Here is a 24,186-nt window from a genome sequence, read left to right as displayed (position 1 = left end):
GTATGAACCACCACGCCCAGCAGTCCTCCAGCTTTATTTCACTTCTTCAAGATTGCTGTGGCTATTTTTCATTCTCTGCCTTTCTATGTAATTTTAGAATGTCTTTTCTTTTTCTTTTCTTTTTTCTTTTTTTTTTTTTTTGAGACGGAGTCTCGCTCTGTCGCCCAGTCTGTCTGGAGTGCAGTGGCACAATCTCGGCTCACTGCAACCTCCGGCTCCGGTTTCAAGTGATTCTCCCACCTCAGCCTCCTGAGTAGTTGAGATTACAGGCACAAGCCACCACGCCCAGCTAATTTTTTGTATTTTTAATAGAGACAGGGTTTCACCATGTTGGCCAGTCTGGTCTCAAACTCCTGACCTCAAGTGATCCGCCCGCCTCGGCCTCCCAAAGTGCTGGGGTTACAGGCGTGAGCCACCACACCCGGCCTAGAGTTGCTTTTTAATTTATACATACACACACGTGCACACATGCACAAAATCTGCTGGCATTTTGACTGGGTTTTCATTGACCGTATAGATAAATTTTGGAAGAATGGATGGACATCTTTAACTTTTTTTTTCTCTATAATATTTTATAGTTTTCAGTGTAGGCAGTGGTTTTTAACTAGGGGTGATTTTGCTCCCATCCTCCCCGTCCCCCAGGGCAGTATCTGGAGTCATTTTTGGCTGTTATGCTAGGGGATGGACAGTGCTAATGGAGTCTTGTGCCTAGAGGCAGGGATGCTTCTGAACATCCCAAAATGTACAATTCCCATAACAAATAATTATAGGCTCAAAATATCAGTAGCACCAAGGTTGAGAAGCCATGGTAAAGGGTATTAAACTTTTTTCTCAGAATTCAATATATTAGGGGCTAGCATAGATCATTTCTTTTAAATTTTTATAATTTTGCTAGTATATAGAACTATACTAAATAGTCAATATTTAATACTGAACTATACTACTCAATATTTAAAATATTGAGCTTGTATCCAGTGACCATGCTAAAATAAATTTTCCATTCAAGTAGTTTCTCTATAGGTTCCTTGGATTACCACATACACAATTGTATCACCTGTGAATAAAGACAGCTTTACTGCTTTTGTGAACCAACTCCTGCAGGAAGTGCTGTGCAGCCAGTAGCCAGCTCTTTTCTGTACAGTTGAAGAGCCTGCTGCAAAATACAATGAAAACGTTATCTACAGGGTGCAGACCAGCAAAACAACAACAAAACAATCTTAATACTTTCTTTGGTTTCCCTAAAAATGGGGAGATTCTGAGGCACAGCCCTACCCAGTATCTCCTGGGAGGCAATTTCCTTTTTTTTTTGAGACGGGATCTCACTCTATTGCCCAGGCAGGTATGCAGTGGTGCGATGTGAGCTCACTGCAACTTCCACCTCTCGGGTTCAACGATTCTCGTTGCTCATCCTCCCAAGTAGCTGGGACTACAGGTGCCCGCCACCACGCCTGGCTAATTTTTGTATTTTTAGTAGAGATGGAGTTTCACCACATTGGCCAGGCTACTCTGGAACTCCTGACCTCAAGTGATCTGCCCGCTTCTGCCTCCCAAAATGCTGGGTTTACAGGCATGAGCCACCGCACCCAGCCTGTAATTTCCAATCTGTAGAAGTCTGTGAAACTGCACAAATGTCAGCCAAAGGAAGCTGGTCTGCCAACTGAAAGCACTGACATGGGGTCAGGGCACATGCCCACCACAGAAAGTACTTTTGGAGTTATCTTTTGAGAGTGTCTTTTTTCTTCTTCCATTTTTAGAGATTGGGTCTCACTATGTTGCCCAGGCTGGTCTTGAACTCCTAGGCTCAAGTGATCCATCCATCTTGGTCTCCCGAAGTGCTGGGATTACAGGTGTGAGCCACTGCACCTGGTCATGAGAATGTGTTTCTGAGAGTGTGGTTAGGAGTAGCCTGGTGCAGGAGTGGAAAGGGGTGATCTCTTTCTTCCACCTTATTAAGGGTCACAGCCAACACCCTTATAATAAAAGACAGGTTAACAAGAGAAAATCATAACAAATTTATTAACATGCATGAAGCAGGGAAGCCATATAAAAAATATGAACATACACAGAAAGGCCCAATGGTTGGCACTTAAATACTCTCTTCACTAGGGAAAGGGAGCTGGGGGGCTGTAAATGAATGGACCCAAATACCTGACAGTGGTTTGCAAATGGTTCTCTTTGGATGCTGAATGGGACTGAAGGACAAACAATAGCTTGTGGACAAGTCATGGAAGGTGAGGGGTGGTACTGCACTGTGAACTAAGGTTGTCTTATTATGCAGATACAGTCTCCCAGGTTATCTCTTGGAACCTCCCTCAGAAGAAAAGACGAAAAGTCTGTCTGGGTATGGTATCCTGGCTGTAGCTTCTTTTTCAGTCTTTTCTTGGGTGATTAATCATTCCTGGTTATTTAATGAGATTCATAGGGAGGGGGCTTTAAGACGGCTGCATTTATTTTAGAAGTGTTCTTAATCAGGTAAGGGAACTTCCAGAGAAAGAGGTCCTCCTGGTGCTTTAGAAAAGAAAGGGTTGAAAAGAAAAGAAAAAGGTCAGAGAGACAGCATGCTCCTGGTGCTTTAGAAAAGGGTCAAAAAAAAAAAAAAAAGAAAAGAAAAGAAAGGGTCACAGACACACGATGGCGGGGGAAAGCCAGAGAGAAACCTTGAAGCTGCTGCTTTAGTTCAGCTCGTCAAGTGCCACATTTTGGGCATTATTTTATGAGCCCCAACACTTGTGTGACAAAGAATTCCAAGCTGGAAGTCAACAAACTAAATTCCCCTGTGAGCTCTGTGGCCTCAGCAAGCTGCCTAAGATTTGGGTCCTCCTCTGTAAAACAGACGTTTCCCCTACCCTTCTCGTGGCTCCTTCTGGCTCTCATGTTCCGGAGTCTATAACCTTGCATTGCTTCTGTGCAGACAGAGAAAAGCAGCCACACTTTCCCCAAAGAGTAGCCACAACTACGTAAAAATGAGAAGACATGAAGACAGTTCAAAAGAAAGGAAGGTCACCAGGCTCACCCACAAGCCTCAGAGCAGGGCTTCGTTTTGATTCTTTGGGACTCAGCAGCTCTCAGTGATCTCATCTTTCTTCACAGCTCCAGCTCTTCCCTCCTCTTTTCTGATGGCCTAGATTATATTTTCAGCAGATCGAGCCAGATCCTCATGACCACTTCCCGGAGGTCTGCTCAGCCTTCGGCTGTCACTTCAGGCAGGCAGTGAGAACCGCAGTGTAACCCTTTCGTCTCTCTCACAACAGCATGTCTGACTGCAAAGCCCACCCCGGTCCCAGGACTCTGGTTACACAACCCTTTTAGGCAGGCCCAGGAGATTCCCAGGTAGCACCCTTCCCCTCACCTCCAAATACCCACTTACCCTTCTAACCACACCTCCTCTCTGCATACCATCACCGTTCCCATACTAGCAGTGATGGGGGACTCTCCAGCCACCCTCCCAGGCACGGCATCATCTCTTCACTTTGCGGTGTGGTGGTGCCGCTCTGACACCTGTCGTGAGGCAGCAAGGATTCAAGAGAAGGGAGAAGTTGGCCAGGTGCAGTGGCTCACACCTGTAATCCCAGCACTCTGAGAGGCTTAGGTGGGAGGGTCTCTTGAGGCCAGGAGTTTGAGACCTCATCTCTACTAAAATAAAGAAAATTAGCCAGGTGTGGTGGCACATCTATAGTACCAGCTCCTCGGGAGGCTGAGGTGTGAAGAATTGCTTGATCCCAGGTCGAGGCTGCAGTGACCCCTGATCTCACACTGCACTCCAGCCTGGGTGACAGAGCAAGATCCTGTCTCAAAAAAAAAAAAAACACTAAAAAAGAAAACTCTCAAGAGGAGTGAATCCCTCCATGGCGCCGACTCCTGAGGCCACTCAGCCCTGATTGTCCAGCTATGGGAATTCCATGCTGGCAGCTGTAGCCGCCACCACCAGAGTCCTGTAGATTACCCCTTCTTGTTCTCTGCTCCAAGCAGACTCAACAGCTCCTTTTAATTTCCTGTAGCACAGCAAAGAGTAAGTCTGGATCATTTAACAAGGATTCTTCAGTGGCTCAGGACAGTGAAAGAAAAAGTAACCTTAAATCAGATTAACAAGGTTCACCAGGTCCAGGCCACTTCCTTCCAGCAGAAGGAATGGAAGAGCGGTTGCCCTCTCTTCCGCAGGGCCTGTGAGCTCCAGTCCCTCGCCCTTCTCATCAGGTCCTTTAGATTCTCCCAGGGCTTTCTGAGCCGCTGCTGTCACCACCTTTTCCTGGCCAGTTCACCTCTGCCTTACCTGGAGCTGCAGACCTAGTGCTGCGGCCAGTTGTTTAGCCTATTCCTAATGCTGCCCTCAGCCTCAAAGCCCCTCTCCCTCACAGGGTGTGGCAAACACCATCCCTGGAGGAGGGGCTGAGAAATACCAGTGCCAGACTAAAATATGATACAATCACATGGGCAGAAGAAATTAGGCCACTTACAGAGCCCAGGCAATGGAAAACAGTAGCAATGGCACACTGCTAAAACCAGGGAGGCCATTCAAAGAATGAGTCCTCCCCAGGGGAGCTCAGTGAGAGCGGCCACTTGGATGGAGCAGCAGCTGCCGCAGCTTAAAGCTCACACGGTCAGGCTCTCCATATTCTCCTGTGGCCTTAAGAGAAAGAACCAAAGTGTGCAGAAGCTGGAAGCGTGGGGACGCACCAAGGAACAAGACGCTTGATAAAACCTAAAGAGGAGACGGGACAAGTGTTCGGTTTTTCTTTTAATTATTTACCAGATAAAAAAGAAAAAAATAGTGATTGTTTCTCTTCACCCCCAACATTTCCGTTTACCAAGGTCGAGTTGGAGAGAAATTCATTGAACAACGATTTGTGCTCCTGGCCTGGAGCAAATTCTTCTCCTCTGCTCTACGCCACCTCAGGCAGCAGGGACAGGGCAAAGGGCTCCAGGCAGAAATCCTGGTGGCTGGGCAGCAGAGTGGCAGTGTGGCGATCGCTTCTTCTCGCCATTGCCAGAGCATTCAGACCCTTTCCCGTCTGTCCCCCTACCCCAAGTCCCCCAGTCCCTCAAAGGAGGCAGGGAGTGGGGACTGCAGGAAGCAGGACAGGTGCACGGGTGGCCTGGGCAGCTCCCCACAGATCTGGCAGAGGGGACAACCCCTGCTTCTATTGCACATCCTGGCTCAGCCCCCCTGCCCCGAGCAGTAGGCCACAAAATGAAACACTTTCCAAATTCAGAGAGCCCGGTGCTGTGTGCCAGGCTCAAGGAGGGGAGGTGTGTTGTTGTGTGGCTTGTTCTGGAAGATAGATATGTATTTTTAAGTTACTCCATGATGGGGCCAAGGCAACAATTTTGCCTCTTTGCATAAGGGGTCTGGACATCTCAGGGTCCTGTAGTGACTGGGCCTCTTCCCAGGCGAGTGCAGAAGCCTCGGAAGAAGCCTTTCCCCCACCGGCGGACCTCCTGGCTCCATCAGATGAAGAGGCAGCGCCCACCGGCCACACCAGCCCCTCCGGACTGTCACGACTCTGGGCCACTTGGGGCGACCTCTTTCTCTGAACACCTGGAGAATTCTGTCAAATGACCCTGGAGAAAAACCTTTTATACTACATGTTTTTCCATAAAATGGCAGCTAAGTCCCCTCAAATAAAACCTTTAAGTATTTCATTCTCATTCTTACCAGTGAAATCAAGTGGGACAGGAATAAGCTATTTAACTGACATTAGCGACAGGATAAACCCCTCTAAAAAACCGCAGGGGGGAGTGGGAACTGATTCAGATTTGGCAAAGCTGCAAATCTTTCCCCTTCATGGGCTGGAACGAAGCTGGTGGGTGAAGACAAATCTAAGTGTGCCAATGGCAAGAACTGCAGGCTATGAAATGACAGGTCAGACACAGGACTGTATAAATCGTGGCACTATAAAGATGAGAAGGCAGGTCCATGATACAGCTGGGAGCAAGCCTTTGGAGCATCGCTTCCAGAAATTCTATCTGTCCTGTAGTAAGTAGTAGCATCCAGATAAAATCAGTGGTTCTCCTTTCTCCTCTTCCAAACACATTCTGAGAGTTTCTTGTTTAAATAACTATGTACACACCCAGCAAGCCTGGTCTCTCTTTTACATGAGGGTCCTTCACTTGAGGGTCCTACAATGGCTTTAGAGTCGGTTCCAATTGCCTTTTTGGAGATTTACTGCTTGGGACCAAACCTGCAAGGCAAAGAAATGACTGAACACTATAACAGGAAAATCTTGAAGATGAAGGCATTCCAGTGATTAAGAGACTGAGTCTTAATATAAACAACCCTCAACTCCCTACAGGGCTCTGGTACTCTGGCAAATGGAGTAATTGGGCTTGGGCCCATCAACTCTGTCAGCCAGAAGGCCATATGCCCTCCAAAGGCCTTGGAAAACAGCTCCATACCTCCCTCTGATAAGGACAGTTTCTCAAGTTCAGCTTCAAGTTCAGCATCTGAGATCCTAGGGTTAGGCACGCTGTTGGTAAAATGCCTATTGCGGGGGTTGTCAGGCAGATCCAAAGGTTCTTTGGTGGTATCCTGAAGGAGGATGTCCAATTCCTTCTCCAGTTCTTCACTGTCAAAATCTGGAAAGAAAAGACAACATAAAGATGCATAAACTCAAGGGAGAAATGCATTAATGAGTACAGGACTGAGGTTACCAAAACCCGCTTAGCTTTACAAAAGATGCCAGGCCTCCTTGCAGATTAAAAAAAAATCCCGGAAGTCAGGAGGGTAGCTTCAAGCAGAGATGATTCTTCCACACTCCAAGCTAAGTCACCAAGGAGGTGTATTCTGTTAACACCATGGACCTGACCCTGATTCCCACTGCCCTTGAAGGAGGATCCTCCAGTCAGAAGCCTTGTGAATGAGGAATGCCGCAGCACAGATGGGTCATGAGCACAGCTGTCGAGGAGGAAATGGCAATTCCCTGACTGCTCCCGCAGATGAGCCCCAGGGAGGGCAGGCTAGGAGAGGCCTGCCTGCACCCGGAAAAGCAAATCTACTGTCAAACTCATCACAGCACAGGGAAGCGAAGTCTTCCAGGATGAAAGGAAGAAACACTCACCTTGGGCCAGGTGTGGTGGCTCACACCTGTAACCCCAGCACTTTGGGAGGCCGAGGCCGGCGGATCACGAGGTCAGGAGTTCCAGACCAGCCTGACCAACAGGTGAAACCCCATCTCTACTAAAAATACAAAAATTAGCCAGGCGTGGTGGCGGGCGCCTATAATCCCAGCTACTCAGGAGGCTGAGGCAGGAGAATCACTTGAACCCAGGAGGCGGAGGTTGCAGCGAGCCGAGAATGCGTCACTGCACTCCAGCCTAGGTGACAGAGTGAGACTCCATCTAAAAAAAAAAAAAATGACCCCGTCTCTACTAAAAATACAAAAAATTAGCCGGGCATAGTGGCAGGCGCCTGTAGTCCCAGCTACTTGGGAGGCTGAGGCAGGAGAATGGCGTGAACCCGGGAGGCGGAGCTTGCAGTGAGCCGAGATCCCGCCACTGCACTCCAGCCTGGGCGACAGAGCGAGACTCCGTCTCAAAAAAAAAAAAAAAAAAAAAAAATGAATAAAAATAAAAATAACCACCTTGTCCACTCACCTAAGCCATTTGTTACCCCACCAGCCAGAGTCTGAGAAACTTCATCCTGGGTGTCACAGAGCTGTAAGAGACAAGTGCAAAGCCTTGAGCTGGGCATGGTGGCTCTGAGCATCTCAGTCTTTGGTGGAAAATATCTAGGGTTACAAAGCAATCCTGCCCCAAGTGAGAATCAAGGAAAGCTTCCTCAAGTTCACAAGGTCACAAGTCAGGTTTCGTTAAAGAGGATGTGCAATGAAGTCAAATCTGTCCTCTGTCACCTCCTTCTCTGTGTGTCCCTCCCTGGCCCCTTTCTGTACCTCTTGGATCTGATCCACGAGGCTCTCTGCCTTCTCCACTGTGACATCCTTCATGGAGAGTTTGAGTGCTCCTACCCCAGCCTGGTAGGCGTTAAAAACCTAAAGACAAAGCAAAGCTATCAGTGCAAATGACAGACATTTGGCAAAATACATACAATATTGTTTCAACTCCAAAAGGCAGCTTTGGGGTGTTTTTTTTGGCACCCAAGCTCAATTTACCCTATACCCACCGAGGCCAAACCTCCTGACTGGAAAGGCAAAGGCAACCCCAGCCACATCCCGAAAGAACCCAGGGATCCTCCAAACAGCCAAGCCGAAGCTGCAAGTGACCAACACACACGGAGAGACCAGCCAAGTGCTGGAGTAGAGGGGAGTGACTACCATCTGATCTGTCTGGGAGGCATAGATCCGGTCCAGGATGCCTTGAACAGTGTCCAGCTTGGCATGCAAGGCCTCGATGCGCTTCTCTGTCCGTTGCTTGGCCTTGAGAGACCTCAGTGCCTGGAGGCATGGAGACTTAGGTCAGTGCTGAACTGGGCGAGCCAAAGGGCAAGAGGAAGACAGCCCTTCCCAGACGCTAAGGATGTCCCAGCTTTCTTCCCTCCCATCTGTAAAATAAGCTGTGGTGCCTGGGCCCCCTGCAGACTCTACCCCCCTCAAAACCCCAGCAAGCTGCTCTCTGAACTGCTGGGCATTGCTCCAGGCCTGCCTGGGGCACTGCTATGGGTCTGGAGGAGACAAGAACTCACCAGCTGCTTCTTTCCTGCTCGGCATGCCCGGCGGGCTTCTTCTTTACACCTGGAAACAAAGGGACAGATAAGATTACTGTGCCACAGGATGGGAGTGGCAGGGTCCCAAAGGGTCCCTGAGAGCAGCACTCAGTTAAGGTGGTTTTAAATCTGAAGACTAAACCCAATACCCAGTGGCAAGAAAACTGATGCTGACGGCAAAAACTCTTGTGGCAAGTCTGTTGACAGTCTGTTGTGGCAGGCTCAAGCAGGCTGACTAAGGATAAGCTTTTTCAACCCACAGGGACAGAACATGCAAACAGGGCACATTATACACATCTTCCTGTTTTGGGGAGACAGGGAAGGAACTGTTAACACCAACAATGACCTCGGACATATCCTCTGCCTCCCAACAAGGCTAGACTTTCCCACCTGGAAGACAGACTTCAATGTCTGTGTTCTCCTGCCAGAGGGTGTGTCTTTATTAGGGATTCCTTGTACAGTCATTCAGGGGGAAGGGCAGGGGAAGAGCCCCTCAGAAAGACCTCTGCAAAGGCAGGGACCTGTCTTGTCCACGGCTGTATCCCCAGTCCCTAAGACAATGCCTGGCTCAATAAATATTAGTTGAATGGACACTGGCAAGGAAGAGCATAAACATAACATTCACAGTCATGGTCTGTGGGGGAAGCATTAAGACTCACGTTTTCAGCTGGGCACAGTGGCTCACCCCAGTAATCCCAGCACTTTGGGAGGCTGAGGTGGGGGTCTTGTTTGCGCCGAGGAGTGTGAGACCAGCCTGGGCAACATGGTGAGACCCCATCTCAACAAAAAATTAAAAATTAGCCAGGCATGGTGGTGCACACTTGTGGTCCCAGCTACTCAGGAGGCTAAGGCGGGAAGATTGCTTGAGCTCAGGAGTTAGACTGCAGTGAGCTAAGATCATGTCACTGCTCTCCAGCCTAGGGGACAGTGCAAGACCCTGTCTCAATTGAGGAAAAAAAAAAAAAAAAAGGCCGGGCACGGTGGCTCACGCCTGTAATCCCAGCACTTTGGGAGGCAGAGGCGGGCGGATCACGAGGTCAGGAGATTCAGACCATCCTGGCTAACACAGTGAAACCCCATCTCTACTAGAAATATAAAAAATTCGCCAGGCGTGGTGGCGGGTGGCTGTAGTACCAGCTACTCGGGAGGCTGGCGCAGGAAAATGGCGTGAACCCAGGAGGCGGAGCTTGCAGTGAGCCGAGATCGCACCACTGCACTCCAGCCCGGGTGACAGAGCGAGACTCCGTCTCAAAAAAAAAAAAAAAAAAAAAGAGGCCTCATTTTTTTTTCTCTTTTGTGATATTCTGTGCTTTCCATGATTTCTGCATTGAGCAGTGAGTACTTTTGTAATTAGCTAAAAAAAAAAAAAACCCACCTATTTTTTAAAAGCCCACATATACTAACATTTTGCTGGCTCTGGGGGCCAGCAACAGTGGGGAGGAGGCTCAGTTCAGGGTTAAAAGTTACCTCTCTGCTTCCTGGGATAAGGACTCCACTTTGCGTGAGAGAAGCTGTTCACTCTGCATCAGCTGGTACACCCCAACATCTACGTCATTGACTGGAGAGACCTTGGCACGTGGCCCTCGGGCAAACTTCACAATCTGAGGGACAGGGAGAAATTACTACTGCTGCTACCACAAAGGCTGAGAAATTCCCAACCAGGAGCGCTGGTGGTGGGCATGTGAGAACAGCAGGCCCCCCTTATCCATGGGGGATATGTTCCAGTGAATGGAATCCCCTGTGGAGGTCTGAACCCTCAGAGAATACTGAACCCTATACATATAGCTATGTAAACATTTTTCCTTCTTCACAATTTTTCCTATAGAAGATTCATTCTTACTGTAGATCCTAGCAAACTCAGCAAATGATATTTGGTCTTCCTTATTTGGTCCAGAACTTTTACCTTTTCACTTAAAGGAAGCACTTGACCGCTTCTCTTTGGTAAATCTGGACTGCCAGCACCACTGCTCTTGTGCTTTGGGGCCATTATTAAGTATAATAGGCCAGGCACGGTGGTTTACACCTGTAATCCTAGCACTTTGGGAGGCCGAGGCAGGCAGATCACTTGAGGTCAGGAGTTCAAGACAGCCTGGCTAACTGGTGAAACCCCTTCTCTACTAAAAATACAAAAATTAGCCAGGGGCCGTGGCGCATGCCTGTAATTCCAGCTACTTGGGAGGCTGAGGCAGAAGAATCGCTTGAACCCGGGAGGCGGAGGCTGCAGTGAGCTCAGATTGCGCCATTGCTGGGCGACAGAGCAAGACTCCATCTCAAAAAAAAAAAAAAAAAGTACAATAAGGGTGGCTTGAACACAACCACTGCAATGCTGTGACAGTCAATCTGATCACTGAGACGACTCCTAAGTGACTCAGGCGGGGAGATGCTGGACAAAGCAGGGATGCGCATACAGGCGGGATACTACGAGGTCCCATCACACTACTCAGAACAGTGCACAACTGAAATCTATGGAACTGTTAATGTTTGGAATTTTCCACTTATTATTTTTGGACCGTGGTTGACGGCAGGTTACTGAAACTCTGGAAACCAAAATCTGAGATAAGGGCTCACTACTCTATGTACTTAATCAATCACTGCTGAGTCAGTGAATGAACAGATGAGCCTCCATACCTTCTCCCCGTTCTGCTCGAGGACTGTGACCCTCTTCTCCTTCTGCAGCTGCAGCAACACCAAGTAGAAGGTCCTCTCATCTGGGCAGGAGTTAGCACAGAGGGTGCTGAGCTCTGACAGGGCCACCACGGGGTGGGAGGAGAGGGGCGAGTTCTGATACAGACGATACACCTCCTCAGCCTTTTCCTGTGGGAAAGGCAACATTGGCTGACAGGCCCTGGCCACTGCCATGGGATGCAGGGACCCTGACCCTGAGTTTCAAAACCATGATCACACAAGGCAAGCACCCGGGAATCCCAACCCCATCCTCCCCAAAGTAGCGGCTTTTCAAAAAGGAGGAAGGATCTGTGTTTTTAAGCCTTGGAGGAAAGTTTGGTGACTCCACATGAAATGAGGCACATGAGATGCTGGGAGCCAGCTCTGCGCTGCACGCCCATCGGGGATTTTACACTCCTGCCTCTCACTGGCCTGTGGTTTCCCAAGGGAAGACTGAGGAGGTGAGGTGAGGTAGAACAGCTGTGAACGAGAGCTGAGGCCTGATTTCCAGCCTAGCCTGGGTGACCTTGGGCCAGTCACAGCCTCACTAGTCCTCAGTATCACTCTCTGAAGAGGGTGGATGAAATGACATCTAATTCCCTTCCAATTGTAGTCTCTCCATTTTCCTGCCAATTGGCTATACTGCAAACACAAACATTATTGACTCTGTAAAAAGCCTTAAGGGAAAAGGGCCAGGCGTGGCAGCTCATGCCTGTAATCCCAGCACTCTGGGAGGCTGATCACCTGAGGTCAGGATCACCTGAGGTCAGGAGTTCGAGACCAGCCTGGCCAACATGGCAAAACCCTGTCTTTACTAAAAATACAAAAAAAAAAAATAGCTGGATGTGATGGCGGGCACCTGTAATCCCAGCTACTTGGGAGGTTGAGGCAGGAGAATCACTTGAACCTGGGAGGCGGAGGTTGCAGTGAGCCGAGATCGCGCCACTGCACTCCAGCCTGGGCGACAAGAGCAAAACTCTGTCTCAAACAGAACAAAACAAAACAAAAAACAAAGAAAAGTACATAATAAACAGATGGGATAAGATTAGTGACAAGAGTAAGAAATATAAGTTCCAAGAAATAATGTCACCATTTCGCTCATACATGGAAATTACTACCAGAAACAAGAAAGACTGAGGTGTCCATGGGATGCTATGAAAATATAGGGAAGGACTGCCTGGGGATTCAGGATTTCTTGAAAAAAAAAAAAAGTTGAGCAGAATTCTGAAGAGTGAGCAAGTTCCTAGGTGAAGAGGTGAAACGGGTATCTCGGGAAGAGAGAGGAACATGAGCATAGAAGGGTGGGTCAATGCGGCACGTGTACAAATGTAGAGGGGAAAGGAGAGAGAGGAGAAGCACTCCTATATTATAGAAAGTGTAATATCCTATATTATAGAAAGTGTAATATCTTATGATGATCCTTTATTCTGTAGATGGTGGGTGGTCACTGAAGGAAACTGACATGGCTAGATTAACAGAAAGCTAACTGCCAATTGGGAGACGATGGATTGTAGAGTTAAGATTAGAGGCAAGGAGACCATTTACACAAGAGATTATGTGGGTCTGAACAACAGGCTATTTGAATAATAAACATAGAAAGAGGAGTGGTGGAGACAAACAAAATTCAGAAGATAACACTGGTAACTGGATATAGGGTTGGAAGAAAAAGTCTAGTGGAAAGTCACTATGGATTGAGTGACTGGTGGATGTGATGCTATTAATAGGAAAAAATTCAGGAGGAAAAGCCTAGTTTAAAGTAAAGACAAAATATCCCATCTTGGTTATGATGTTTTAAGATGTCTGAGAGAAGCCAGGCACGGTGTGCCTCACGCCTCTAATCCCAGCACTTTATGAGGCCGAGGTGGGTGGATCACCTGAGATCAGGAGTTTGAGACCAGCCTGGCCAACAGGGTGAAACCCCATCTCCACTAAAAAAAATACAAAAAATTAGCTGGCCATGGTGGCAGCGCCTGTGATCCCAGCTACTTGAGAGGCTGAGGCAGGAGAATTGCTTGAACCCAGGAGGCGGAGGTTGCACTGAGCCAACATTGTGCCACTGCACTACAGCCTGGGCAACAGAGTGAGACTCTGTCTATAAATAAATACATAAATAAGATGTCTGAGCTATATCCAAGATTATGTATACAACCTATCAGTGGATATACAAATCTGAAACTCAAAGGAGACAGCAGGACAGCGATACAATGTTGAAAGTCCTCAGCATATCCACAGCAAAGATCCCAAGGACATTCAGGGAGGAAAGTAATAAGCTGAAGGAAGACCACTGTTTAGGAAGTGAAGGAAGCCACAAAAGAGAGACAGAAGGACTGCTTTGGGGGAATCAAGGAGAACTTGCAGCGTCATGTAAACAAATTCAAGGAAATTGGACATTTCAAGAAGTGACTCGTCAACAGTGCCAAAGGGTAGAAAAGAGCCTAATAAGACACAGACATCGAGTTTTCATTGATTTGACTGCCCTACCAGATATGCAACCACTGCAGTAACTGCACAGTAACCACACACAAATAAATTAATGTTACACGACATCAAGAAAAGATACTGAGACAACTGGCTATCCATTTGGAAGAAAATAGAGCTTTCCCCACCACATACACAAAAATAAGTATTGAAGGAAATGTAAACGGAAAAAATTAAAGTACAAAGTAATAAGTTAAGCTTGAGTCAGAAGATGCCTTCCTAAACAAGACCTGAAATTCAATAGCCATACAGAAAAGTCTGAGAGATCTGACTACAGAAATATGAAACCTTCTATAGGGTAAAAGACATCATAAATAAAAAGTAAGCAAGCAACAGACTGAGAAACAATATTTACATCCTTAATACTAAATACATTATATATATCTATCTCTAACACATAAAGAATACAGATTAACATAAAAGATAACACAATAAGGCCAGGCGCGGTGGCTCACACCTGTAATCCCAGCACTTTGGGAGGCCAAGGCGGGTGGATCACGAGGTCAGGAGATCGAGACCATCCTGGCTAACATGGTGAAACCCAATCTCTACTAAAAATACAAAAAATTAGCCGGGCGTGGTGGCGGCACCTGTAGTCCCAACTGCTCGGAAGGCTGAAGCAGGAGAATGGCGTGAACCCGAAAGGCGGAGCTTGCAGTGAGCGGAGATCGTGCCACTGCACTCCAGCCTGGGTGACAAACTCCATCTCAAAAAAAAAAAAAAGATAACACAATACAAAACAGGAAAGGATATAAACAGACAATTCACAGAAGGAGATATGTAAATGGCTAGTACATAGGTGAAAAAAATGCTCAATTCACAAACAGGACGTATCATTTTTTTTTTCCCAATAAGTTGGTAAGATTTAAAAGACTGATGTCATCCCGTGCTGACAAGGATGTGGGGAGACTGGACTCCCTAATACAGTCTTGATGAAAGTGCAACTTATTACAAACTTTTGAAAAGTAGTTTGGCAATTTTTGTTAAAATTGAAAAGGCACATATGCATTTCCGAAAAATCAATTCCATAAAAATAAAGGGAGAAGTACATAGATCTCTGCACAAGTGGCATTTTTTTGTAATGGAAAAATGGAGAGAGAAATTGGAATGATTGAAATGTCCATCTGCGGAGCACCTGTTGCATAAATTGTGGCATATCGATAGATTATCATGCAGGCATCAAAAAGAATCGAGTAAATCCATACTGTGTAGGGCCTGGAAAGAGGCACCTGATACAATGCAATGGAAAGAAAACAAAGCAGGGTGCACACCAATTCCATTTCTAGAAAAAAATGGAGTGATGTGTACACGTGTCTGTGCGTGTGTATTCACTCACTCAACAGGTATTTATTGACTGTCTACCAGGTATCAGGCACTGCTCCCAGGGTCCCAGGGCCCATGGCACTGTTCCCTTCTAGTAGGAAAGACAGACAAGAAACAAGTGAATAAGATTTTCAGGAAGAACTAGAGTTGACAAAGCCATTAAGGAAACATAAATCTGTAAACATACACACTCACGCACTCTCACACAAATGGGAAGAGAGTACCCAAAGAGAGAAAAGTTGGATGAACAGAAAGAAAACTTTCATTTCTTTGTATTTTTTTTAAATAACAAAATAATGGACAATTTTTGCTTTTTTTATTTTTCAATACCATCCAAAAGTAAAAAGTTACTGGCTGTTTCTCTGTCTGGACTTGGGAAAAAAAATTTACCTCAACAGCAGGCTTTCTTTGTTTGCCAGTACAAACCTCATCTGTGGGGATCCATGGGTTTACCTCTCCTCTGCCCCAGGCTGCAGGACAATGTGAGATGACAGAAAGACCGCAGAGAGGACCTGAGCTTGGCCCAGAACCACCCAAACCATCCTGCAGTCTTTGCGGGGACCCTGACTGAGCCCTGGAGACCAGGCCACTGGGCAGGGGAATAACTGCATGGGTGCGGGGAAGGGGTGCAGATGGAGCAGAGGGGCTGCCCTGAAGAAAATGTGGGCTGCTTAGTCAACAATCCTGGGAGACAGGGAGAGATTGGCAGATTTTGGAGACCTCTTCCTCAATCTGAGGCAGAGTGGGCTGGAGTCTCTCAAGGTGAGGAGAAATGGGTGCTTCTCCCGGGGTGAGGCGTGGGGATTCTGGGCTGGCTCCAGCTGTGTGAAGCCTCTAGGGCTATGCAAGGGCCCTGAGGTCAGGCTTGGTCTGTGAATTTCAAAAATAACTATTCTCTGCAGTGTCCTTTGGTCACCAGGTGCTCAGTCAACACACACACACACACACACACACACACACACACACACACACACAGGCCCCTATCACCTCATCCACAGCAGTCTGGGTGGAGGGGGTGGTTGAAGCAGGTCTGCACCAGATGACAGAGTGAATGGGAGGTAGGAAGTGGTGACACAAAGGTCGGTTGAGAAGGAAACAGCAGTCACTAGGCAGGGCCCAGGTACCACAAAAGAGACAATCGGTGTTCGGAAAAGCATTGAGTGGGTTTGGGTTTACAGGCTGAGAGTGAGATGGAACATACCAGGCAAGAGGCCAGCCGATGGGACAAAGGGACAAGAGGGGCAGGGTAGACGCAGAGCAGACGAGAGGCAGAGGAAGGACACTACACTCTGAGCACAGGAGGAGGTGGGCTCTGAGGAGGTCAGGCTTGGGGTAAGAGGACAGAAAACTGTAGACCGACTCAGGAATGCTGAGTCTACTTTCTCAGTGAAGTGCCCGCAGAGAGCAAAGAGGACACAGGATGGAATGAGCGTGTGAGGGGACAGAGAGAAAGAAAAATAAGGCTGTGGTGTGGCTCCGAGGGCCTCCCACAGCTGGGGACCATGAAGGGGACCGCAGTCTGATGACAGGCGATTTTCTCCAGCAGGGGTGGTAAACCCCATGTGGCTGATCGAGGGCTACGGATCTGCTGGGAGTCTCCTGGTGTGGACCAAAGGAGATGCAAAGGAGCTGAGGGTGTTGCTGAGGAAGGGAGTGGAGCAATGAGCCATGCGATCAAGGCTGTGGGAAAGGCAGGCCGGGAGGAGGCTGACTGACCAGGAGGCTAGGACGGGACCATGGCCCCAGTGGCCTCTTCGAGGGAGAAGAGCATGTGCAGCAGAAGGCAGGCCATCAGAAAGCTGGAAGGGGAAAGGGCACGGTCACAAAGTAGGAAAGTGGAGCTGAGTGGGCCAGTTTAGAGGTGGCAATGCTGAAAGCCACAAGGTCCTCAGGAATCCTGAGAAACTCTTGTCAGTAAACTACAGAAGGCAAAGCATTTCCTAAACTGCTGCTTAACATTAATCCCTACAGATACTAGAAAATAATCCACTGTTAACTGAAAATTCCGACACAAAGGCTAACCCCTTGAAATGTACAAGTCCCACTAATGAATATTACAAAGTGCAAGTACAAGGGAGAGCAGATAAACTCAGTTATCAACTCAGTAGCCATGTAAAAAAAGAGACGGTCTTTTTTCAAGAACGCACACAAGGGACGTGGAGGATGCTGTGATCACACCAGGTGACACCCAGACACCCCCTTCTGAGTACCCACCTTCAACAGCTCCACAGCGACAAGGACCTCCTCAGCTGGAACCTTATTATCTCCCAGCATGTTAGAAAGAGTCCACTTGAGAGGCTTCAGCAGGAAGACCCCAACCCCCCAGGAGATCCAGCTGCTGTCTACACTGGCCATGAAGTCTGACTCCCGCTGCAGCTCCCCTCGACTGCAGGGAAGAAAAAGAAGGGCGTGTAGTAGCACTTAATGCAATGTCCCATTCCAGTCTCTAGCTCCCCCTTTACCCTAAAAGAGGAATTTTATCATTATCATCACGACCATTTGTTAAGCACCTACGCTGTGCCAACGACACGCAGCATTGTTTATACTCCAGCTCTAAGCGTCACAACACTTCTGCATGGGAGGCGGTATTATGAGCATTTTAACGAATGAGAAAACTGAGGGACTCAGAAGGTAAGCAGAGAGGCCAAATTTACACCATGATAGGTCTGGAACCAAAAGGCAAGTGCTCCACTAAGGCAACAGAAACACAGGCGGCTTCTGGGCCTTCGGTGAGATCTCCTTTTACAATTGGTGCTCAAAACAATAAAATGAAAATAAATCACTGTCGAGTGCAAGACATAAGAAAGAAAACAAAGATGTACAGAGAAGGACTTCTTGCTCTTCCAAGGCAAGGGTGAGGATACGATGTAACTATTTGGTGGTGCTGGTAACAGTAACAGCAGCTCAATTTATTAAATGCTTGCCGCGGGCCAGTCACTACGCTGAAGGCTATATAAGGAATATCTCTTCAAATCCTCACAATAAACCTAGGTACAATTATCATCACCATTTTAGAATTCGTCAAACTGATTGCTAAAGACAGCATAAAATTTGTGCAGGGCCACATAATTTAGCAAATGGCAGAGCCAGGATTCAGGCCTAGGCCAGCCGGCCCTCAAGCAAAAGCTGTTAACTATTAGGTTGGTGCAAAAGTAATTGTGATTTTTGACACTGCTTTTAATACTAATACTATGCCACGTCGCCTCCGTGGAGAAGTATCATCCTCAGAAATTCTTCAGGACCCAGGCAAGCACCAGGAAGCTTCAGTGGAGCACCAGCAGTCAGGAGAAGAGACTTTAATACCACCATAGAGGTATTAAAGTGTCTGAATTGGAAGTGGAAGATGATCCACTTCCAATACAGTAAGGAGGCCCATTCTGGTCCCTTCCCTCACTGACTTCTTCAACTACTGTTTCTCCTGTTCCCTGCTTCAGGCATGAACGAAAACGGTTTCCACTGTATGCCATCTCAGAAAGCCTCGTTGGCCAGGTGCAGTGGCTCAACGCCTGTAATCTTAACACTTTGGGAGGCTGAGGTGGGAGGATCGCTTGAGTGCAGGAGTTCGAGACCATCCTGGGCAATATCAATGTCCAGTCCAATGGGAAGGTACTGGGAACAAAAGTAGAGAAGGGAGATCTCTTAATCAGAAAGAGCAGCAAACTAAAAAAAAAAAAAAACCAACCAAACAAAAAACATCAGAGTTGACTTTCTCCTTCCCTCACTGAGAGAGGTATCACGCTAGGCTGGTCTCAGAATGATAAGTACACTGAAGTGCAAATGACTTATCCAAAGACCAGGGATCCAGTCCCGGTATCACCTTTAACTAGCTGTGTAACTCTGAGTAAGTCACTTGATCTCTCTGAAACTCAGTTTCCTCTTCTGTCTGCTGAGGATAATTCTATCACCTCACCACAAGACCGCTGAGTGGGTCAAATGGTGCATGCAAAGTATCTGCATGCTGGGAAGTACTGTACATGTATTAGTTATCAATGTTACCCTCAGATACCGCCAAAACTGCACCTGTCGCACACGTATCTCCTACAGACCTTTTAAGGGCACTCAGATACTCAGCAAAGCCCTCATTCTCCTTCACGTCCTCTCTGCTCCAAAAAGCCTGTGCCAAGGACAAGCCAGACGAATGAGCTGTGCCAGGGGTTGTTGGCAAGATGCCTACAGGCCTCTTCCCCACGAATGCCCGCTTTTTAGCTCTAACCTTCCCTAGGTTAATGAATCCTATCTCTTAGACCTTCTGCTCCACGGGCCATTCAAATTTGGAGGCCCTTAGGAAACAACAACATAACGGGGTCCCAGTCCAGGCAAATTACTGTCACCTCTGTTAGGCTGGCTTCTCTGGAACTCGTCTAATCGGACTATCCCCGCCCCCCAATCTTCCCCCAGATCCCCTCTTCCTCTCCCTCCAAGCCTCCCTAGCCCAGCCTCCTTATTTTCCTTCTTCGCCTTCTGAACACACACTGGATGCCTTCTCTGGGCCAGACACTGGGCTGGGCGCAGTGCGCTGTGCAGAGAACAGGACCAGGGCCCGGCCCTCCGAGAGCTGCCCCCGCCCGCCCTCGCGGCCCTGGCCCCAGCCCGCCCCTCACCGCAGCAGGTCCTGCAGCACCGTGGCCAGCCCCAGCGGGACGCTCCCCTTGCGCTGAAAGGCCTCCTGCAAGTCCCGCAGACGCAGGCGCACCACCCCCTGGCGGCGGCTGTGGCTCAGCACCAACGGCGCCCAGAAGCCCATCTTGCTGTCCCAGTCGGTGCTGTTCACCTCGCGACTCCTCTTGAAAGCGGAGAACAGGAAGGACATGCGCTCCTCGTCCTCCTCCCACTCGGGGGGCAGAAGGCCCGCCGGGTCTCCCCCGGCTGGGGCCTCGGCCTCCCGCTCCGGGGACCACATCGGAACCCCAGCCCCGGCAAGGCTGCGAACACAAGCCTGGCCCTGGTCCGCTTCCGCCCTCGTTCCCTCCCGGCTTCCGTTCCTTGACCACCTCCTTCTCGTTCACACGTCACCGCCGCCCTGAGCGTGAAATAAGTTCCATAAGTCTTCAAGGCGCATGCGTTGCGCTGCGCTCCGTCAGCCAGGAGGCAGTATGATGAAGTTCTTTTCAGAGAGACACCGAGCGCTTGCGCCGACCCCTCCTCCCACGGTCTTTGTGCCGAAAGAAAGGCTTGCGCCTGCGCGGCAGGTGGCTGCACCTTACGTCTCCTTCAAGATTCTGGAGTTCGGCAAAGCGTTGTACAGCGGCTTCTGACCTGTGGCTTCAGAAAATGGAACTGGGGAATAGCCGCAGAGGGGCGCCAGTGGTGCCCGGACCACCCGGATGGATCCGTGAATCTCTGTATAGAGGGAAATTTATATCAATGAATGCACAAACCAGAAAAGAAGAAAGATCTAAAATAACCTAAGATTCCACCTTGGGAATCTATAAAAGAAGAACAAATTAAGATCAAATTAAACAGAAGAGAAAAAATAATAAAAAGAGCAGAAATCAATGAAATTGAAAACAAACTCAAAAGATTATCAACAAAACCTAAAGCTGATTTTTTGAAAAGGTCAATGAAATTGATTAACCTCTAGCCTGGCTAACAAAGAGAAAAAACAAATACTCAATATCAGAAATGAAATAAGGGACATTACTGCAGATCCCATGGGCATGAAAATGATAATAAAGGAATACTATGAATAACTGTATGTCCACAAATTTGATAACCTAGACGAAATGGACACATTTCTTGAAAGCACACTCTGCCAAAACACACAAGAGGAAACAGACCACTTGAATATGTTTATATCTAATTAATTGAATCAATAATTAACAACATCCACACAGAAAGCATTAGGCCCAGATGGTTTCATTTGATAAGTTCTACCAAATATTTAAGAAAAAAGTTGTACCAGTTCTGTGCCATCTCTTTTATAAGATAGAAACAAAAGGAATACTTCCCAACTGATCCTATGAGGCAAGGATTACCCTAACGCCAAAACCACACAAAGACATTACAAGAAAGAAAAAACACAAAACAATATATCTTGTGAATATAGATGCAAAAATCATCAATAGAATGTTAGCAAATTGAAACCCACAATGTATCAAAAGAATTGTACACCAGGTTAAAGCGGAATTTATTACAGCTAGGCAAGGCTAGTTCAATGTTCAAAAATCAATTAATATAATCCACCAACAGACTAAAGAAAAATCATATGATCATATTGCTAGATGCAGAAAAAGCATTTGACAAAATCCAACACCAGCTCATGATAAAAAGTCTCGGCACTCTAGGAATAGAGGGACACATCCTCCACTTGATAAAGAACATAAACAGGAACCTTACAGCCAACATAAGAATTAATGGTGAAAACCTAGATCGTTTTCCAGTGGAATCAGGAATAACACAAGAATGTCTGCTCACACCATTCCTAGTCAACACTGTACGGGAAATCCTAGCTAACACAGTTAGCCAAGAAAAAGAAATAAAAGTTGTACAGACTGAAGAGGAAGAAATAAAATGGTCTGTCTTTATAGAAGACATAATTATCCATGCAGAAAATTATGAAAGAATTGCCAAATCGATGTCCTGGAACTAAGAGGCAATGAGAACAAGATTGCAGATACAAAGTTAATGTATAAAAGTCAATTCCCATATACCTATAATGATCAAGTGGAATATGAAATTAAAAATGCAATACCATTTACATTAGCACCCCCCTATAAAACTTAGGTATAAATCTAACACGGTATGTACAAATTCTACATAAGGAAAACTACAAAATTCTGATGAAAGAAATCTATGAAGGACTAAATAAATACAGAGGCATTTTATATTCATGGACAGGAAAACTCAATATTATCAAGATATCAATTCTTCCCAAATTGATCTGTAGATCCAGTGAAATCCCAGTGAAAATCATGGCTAGTTATTTTGTGGATATCAACAAACTAATTCTAAAGTTTATGTGGAAAGGCAAAAGACCCAGAAGAGCCAACACAATATTGAACAAATAAGTCAGAGGACGGATACAACCCAACTTCAAGAATTACTATAAATCAACAGTAATCAAGATAGTGTGGTATTAGTTAAAGAATAAACAAATAGATAAATGGAACAGAATAGGAATCCCAGAAATAGGCACATGTAAATACAGTCAACTGACCTTTCGAAAAAAGAAAGGCAATACAATGGTTCAAAGAGTCTTTTCAACAATGAGCACTGGAACAACTGTACACCTACATGCAAAAACAAAAACAAATCCAGGTACAGATCTTACACCATTCACAAAAGCCAGCTCAAATGGATCATGGACTTAAATGTAAAAACACAAAACAATAAAACTCCTAGAAGACAAAACATCTAGATGACCTTGGGCATCATGATTACTTTTTAGATACAACACAAAAAGCATAATCCATGAAAGAAATAATTGATAAATTAGACGTAATTATTATTATTATTATTATTTGCTTTCTGAAAGACACTGTGAAGAGAATGTGAAGATAAGCCACAGACTGGTAGAAACTATTTGCAAAAGACATCTCTGATAAAGGACTGTTATCCAAAACACACGAGGAACTCTTAAGACTCAAAAAAAAAAGAAAAAGAATAACCCAGTTAAAACATGGATAAAAGATCTGAGCAGACCTCTCACCAAAGAAGATCTACCAACGGCAAATAAGTATATGATAATATGCCCAACATCATATGTCATTGGGGAACAGCAAATTAGACAAGAATAGCATACTACTACACACCTATTAGAATGGTGAAAATCCAAAATACTGACCACACCAAATGCTGGTGAGGATGCAGAGCAACAGGAACTCTCATTCATTGCTGGTGGAAATGCAAACTGGTACAGCTACCGTAAGGTTGGCCAAGAGAAAAGACGAGTATACTCAAAGTCAGGCAAGCAAGTTTATTGACCTGCCGGCCTGCTGCATAACAGTCAGAGGAGGCAGCCCAGGGTGTTTAAGGTGAGGGACTTATATAGGGCTTTGAGGGCCTAGGGGCTTTCTGAGGTTAGTCTACATCCTGCAGTTGTTTGTCACTTCTTGCCCCACCTGGCTTAGAGTACCAGGATGTGGTTTGGCCTGGGGGTGGATACAGCTGTACCTAAGTTCTGGTAACGTGAAGTAGGGGCAGCATCTCAGAAGAAATAAGCTGCAGGGCATTTAGGGGAGGGGGCTTGCTGCGTTCTTCTGTGGACAGGTTGTCTCTAAGAGCTACTTTGGAAGACAGTTTGGTCGTTTTTCACAAAATTAAACATTCTCTTCCCATGCAAGTTTACTTATAGTTTAACTTTGAAACAAAGTATAACAGTCCTTTCCCAAAACAAAACTCCTTACTGCCTGTGGACTAGACTGCCTAGACTGCCACAAGATTAGAAGTTATGGTAATTTTACTAAATCAAGATGTAGCTATTTTCATTAAACCAGTATCAATGTCTTATTTATTAATGGTTACACGAGCAGAGATCATTCTGTCTTGGGCTGGGTTTATAGCCTGTGCCAAATTTTGACACCTAATAGTATTTGGCAGGGTTAAGTATGAAATTGCTTGATTAATAAACGCAAATAAAAATGTATGCTGGCAATTCCTAAGACATTTCTAATATTACTTTACCAATAATTTTAAAGATAGCTTATTTATTAAAGATTTTACTTAAGTCACATAACTTGAAAAAGCATTTGACTAGTCTTTCCTTTTTCTAATAAAGTATTTGATGTAAATGCTTTTATTTTTTAAGACAATTAATTAGAGCTCTTTGATATATTTTCAGGAGTGCAACATTGTATACATAACATATAAATACATAGATGTATTAGGCATGCTGATAGAAGAAGTACATCTTACAGATTCATAAAAACCTTTTTTCTTTATCTTAGACTTTCAGATTCTTGATAACCTGTTTCACAGTGCTAGGCAGTAGTCAGCTAAATAGTCTTAAATTTGCATATTAAAGGAAACAACTCAGGTGAAAGTCAGATAGCAAAATTTACATTATAAGGTCTGAAGAGAAATTCTGTGAGCTAGAGGGAAATTAAAACAGATTTAATTGCCAATTG

At 46.3% G+C, this 24,186-nt stretch overlaps 1 protein-coding gene across 5 annotated transcripts, besides 5 other annotated features; it reads right to left on the bottom strand.

The window, feature by feature from the left end:
• Window positions 1,094-1,294: a silencer, noted in NCBI's record as "peak6945 fragment used in MPRA reporter construct". NCBI's record gives its function as "represses an SCP1 promoter by STARR-seq MPRAs in K562 erythroleukemia cells {active_cell/tissue: K562}" and the evidence as "EXISTENCE:reporter gene assay evidence [ECO:0000049][PMID:32103011]".
• On the bottom strand, window positions 4,718-23,080 carry CHMP7 (charged multivesicular body protein 7). Of its 5 annotated transcripts, NM_152272.5 has the most exons (11): window positions 22,873-23,080; window positions 19,723-20,461; window positions 17,336-17,507; window positions 11,285-11,470; window positions 10,124-10,257; window positions 8,636-8,684; window positions 8,268-8,387; window positions 7,887-7,985; window positions 7,591-7,651; window positions 6,394-6,573; window positions 4,718-6,179 (listed from the first exon to the last, which is right to left on the bottom strand). In NM_152272.5, the coding sequence occupies exons 2-11, from the start codon at window positions 20,019-20,021 to the stop codon at window positions 6,118-6,120; spliced, it is 1,362 nt and encodes a 453-aa protein (NP_689485.1). In that variant the 5' UTR covers window positions 20,022-20,461; window positions 22,873-23,080; the 3' UTR covers window positions 4,718-6,117. The 5 variants fall into 5 exon arrangements, with proteins under 5 accessions (NP_689485.1, XP_047278372.1, NP_001304828.1 ...); XM_047422416.1 differs by lacking the exon at window positions 7,591-7,651; NM_001317899.2 differs by lacking the exon at window positions 22,873-23,080 and having other exon boundaries at window positions 19,893-20,076.
• Window positions 19,215-19,264: an enhancer, noted in NCBI's record as "active region_27114". NCBI's record gives its function as "activates an Ori minimal core promoter by ATAC-STARR-seq in GM12878 lymphoblastoid cells {active_cell/tissue: GM12878}" and the evidence as "EXISTENCE:reporter gene assay evidence [ECO:0000049][PMID:35858748]".
• Window positions 19,538-20,047: a silencer, noted in NCBI's record as "silent region_19022". NCBI's record gives its function as "represses an Ori minimal core promoter by ATAC-STARR-seq in GM12878 lymphoblastoid cells {active_cell/tissue: GM12878}" and the evidence as "EXISTENCE:reporter gene assay evidence [ECO:0000049][PMID:35858748]".
• Window positions 20,068-20,317: an enhancer, noted in NCBI's record as "active region_27113". NCBI's record gives its function as "activates an Ori minimal core promoter by ATAC-STARR-seq in GM12878 lymphoblastoid cells {active_cell/tissue: GM12878}" and the evidence as "EXISTENCE:reporter gene assay evidence [ECO:0000049][PMID:35858748]".
• Window positions 22,887-23,388: an enhancer, noted in NCBI's record as "NANOG hESC enhancer chr8:23100842-23101343 (GRCh37/hg19 assembly coordinates)". NCBI's record gives its function as "activates a minimal SCP1, AML or CMV promoter by ChIP-STARR-seq in naive H9 embryonic stem cells {active_cell/tissue: H9 hESC(naive)}" and the evidence as "EXISTENCE:reporter gene assay evidence [ECO:0000049][PMID:30033119]".

This window comes from Homo sapiens, chromosome 8 (genome assembly GCF_000001405.40).
Source record: "Homo sapiens chromosome 8, GRCh38.p14 Primary Assembly".
NCBI classification, from domain to species: Eukaryota; Metazoa; Chordata; class Mammalia; order Primates; family Hominidae; genus Homo; species Homo sapiens.
This window is presented reverse-complemented; position numbering and strand designations above follow the sequence as displayed.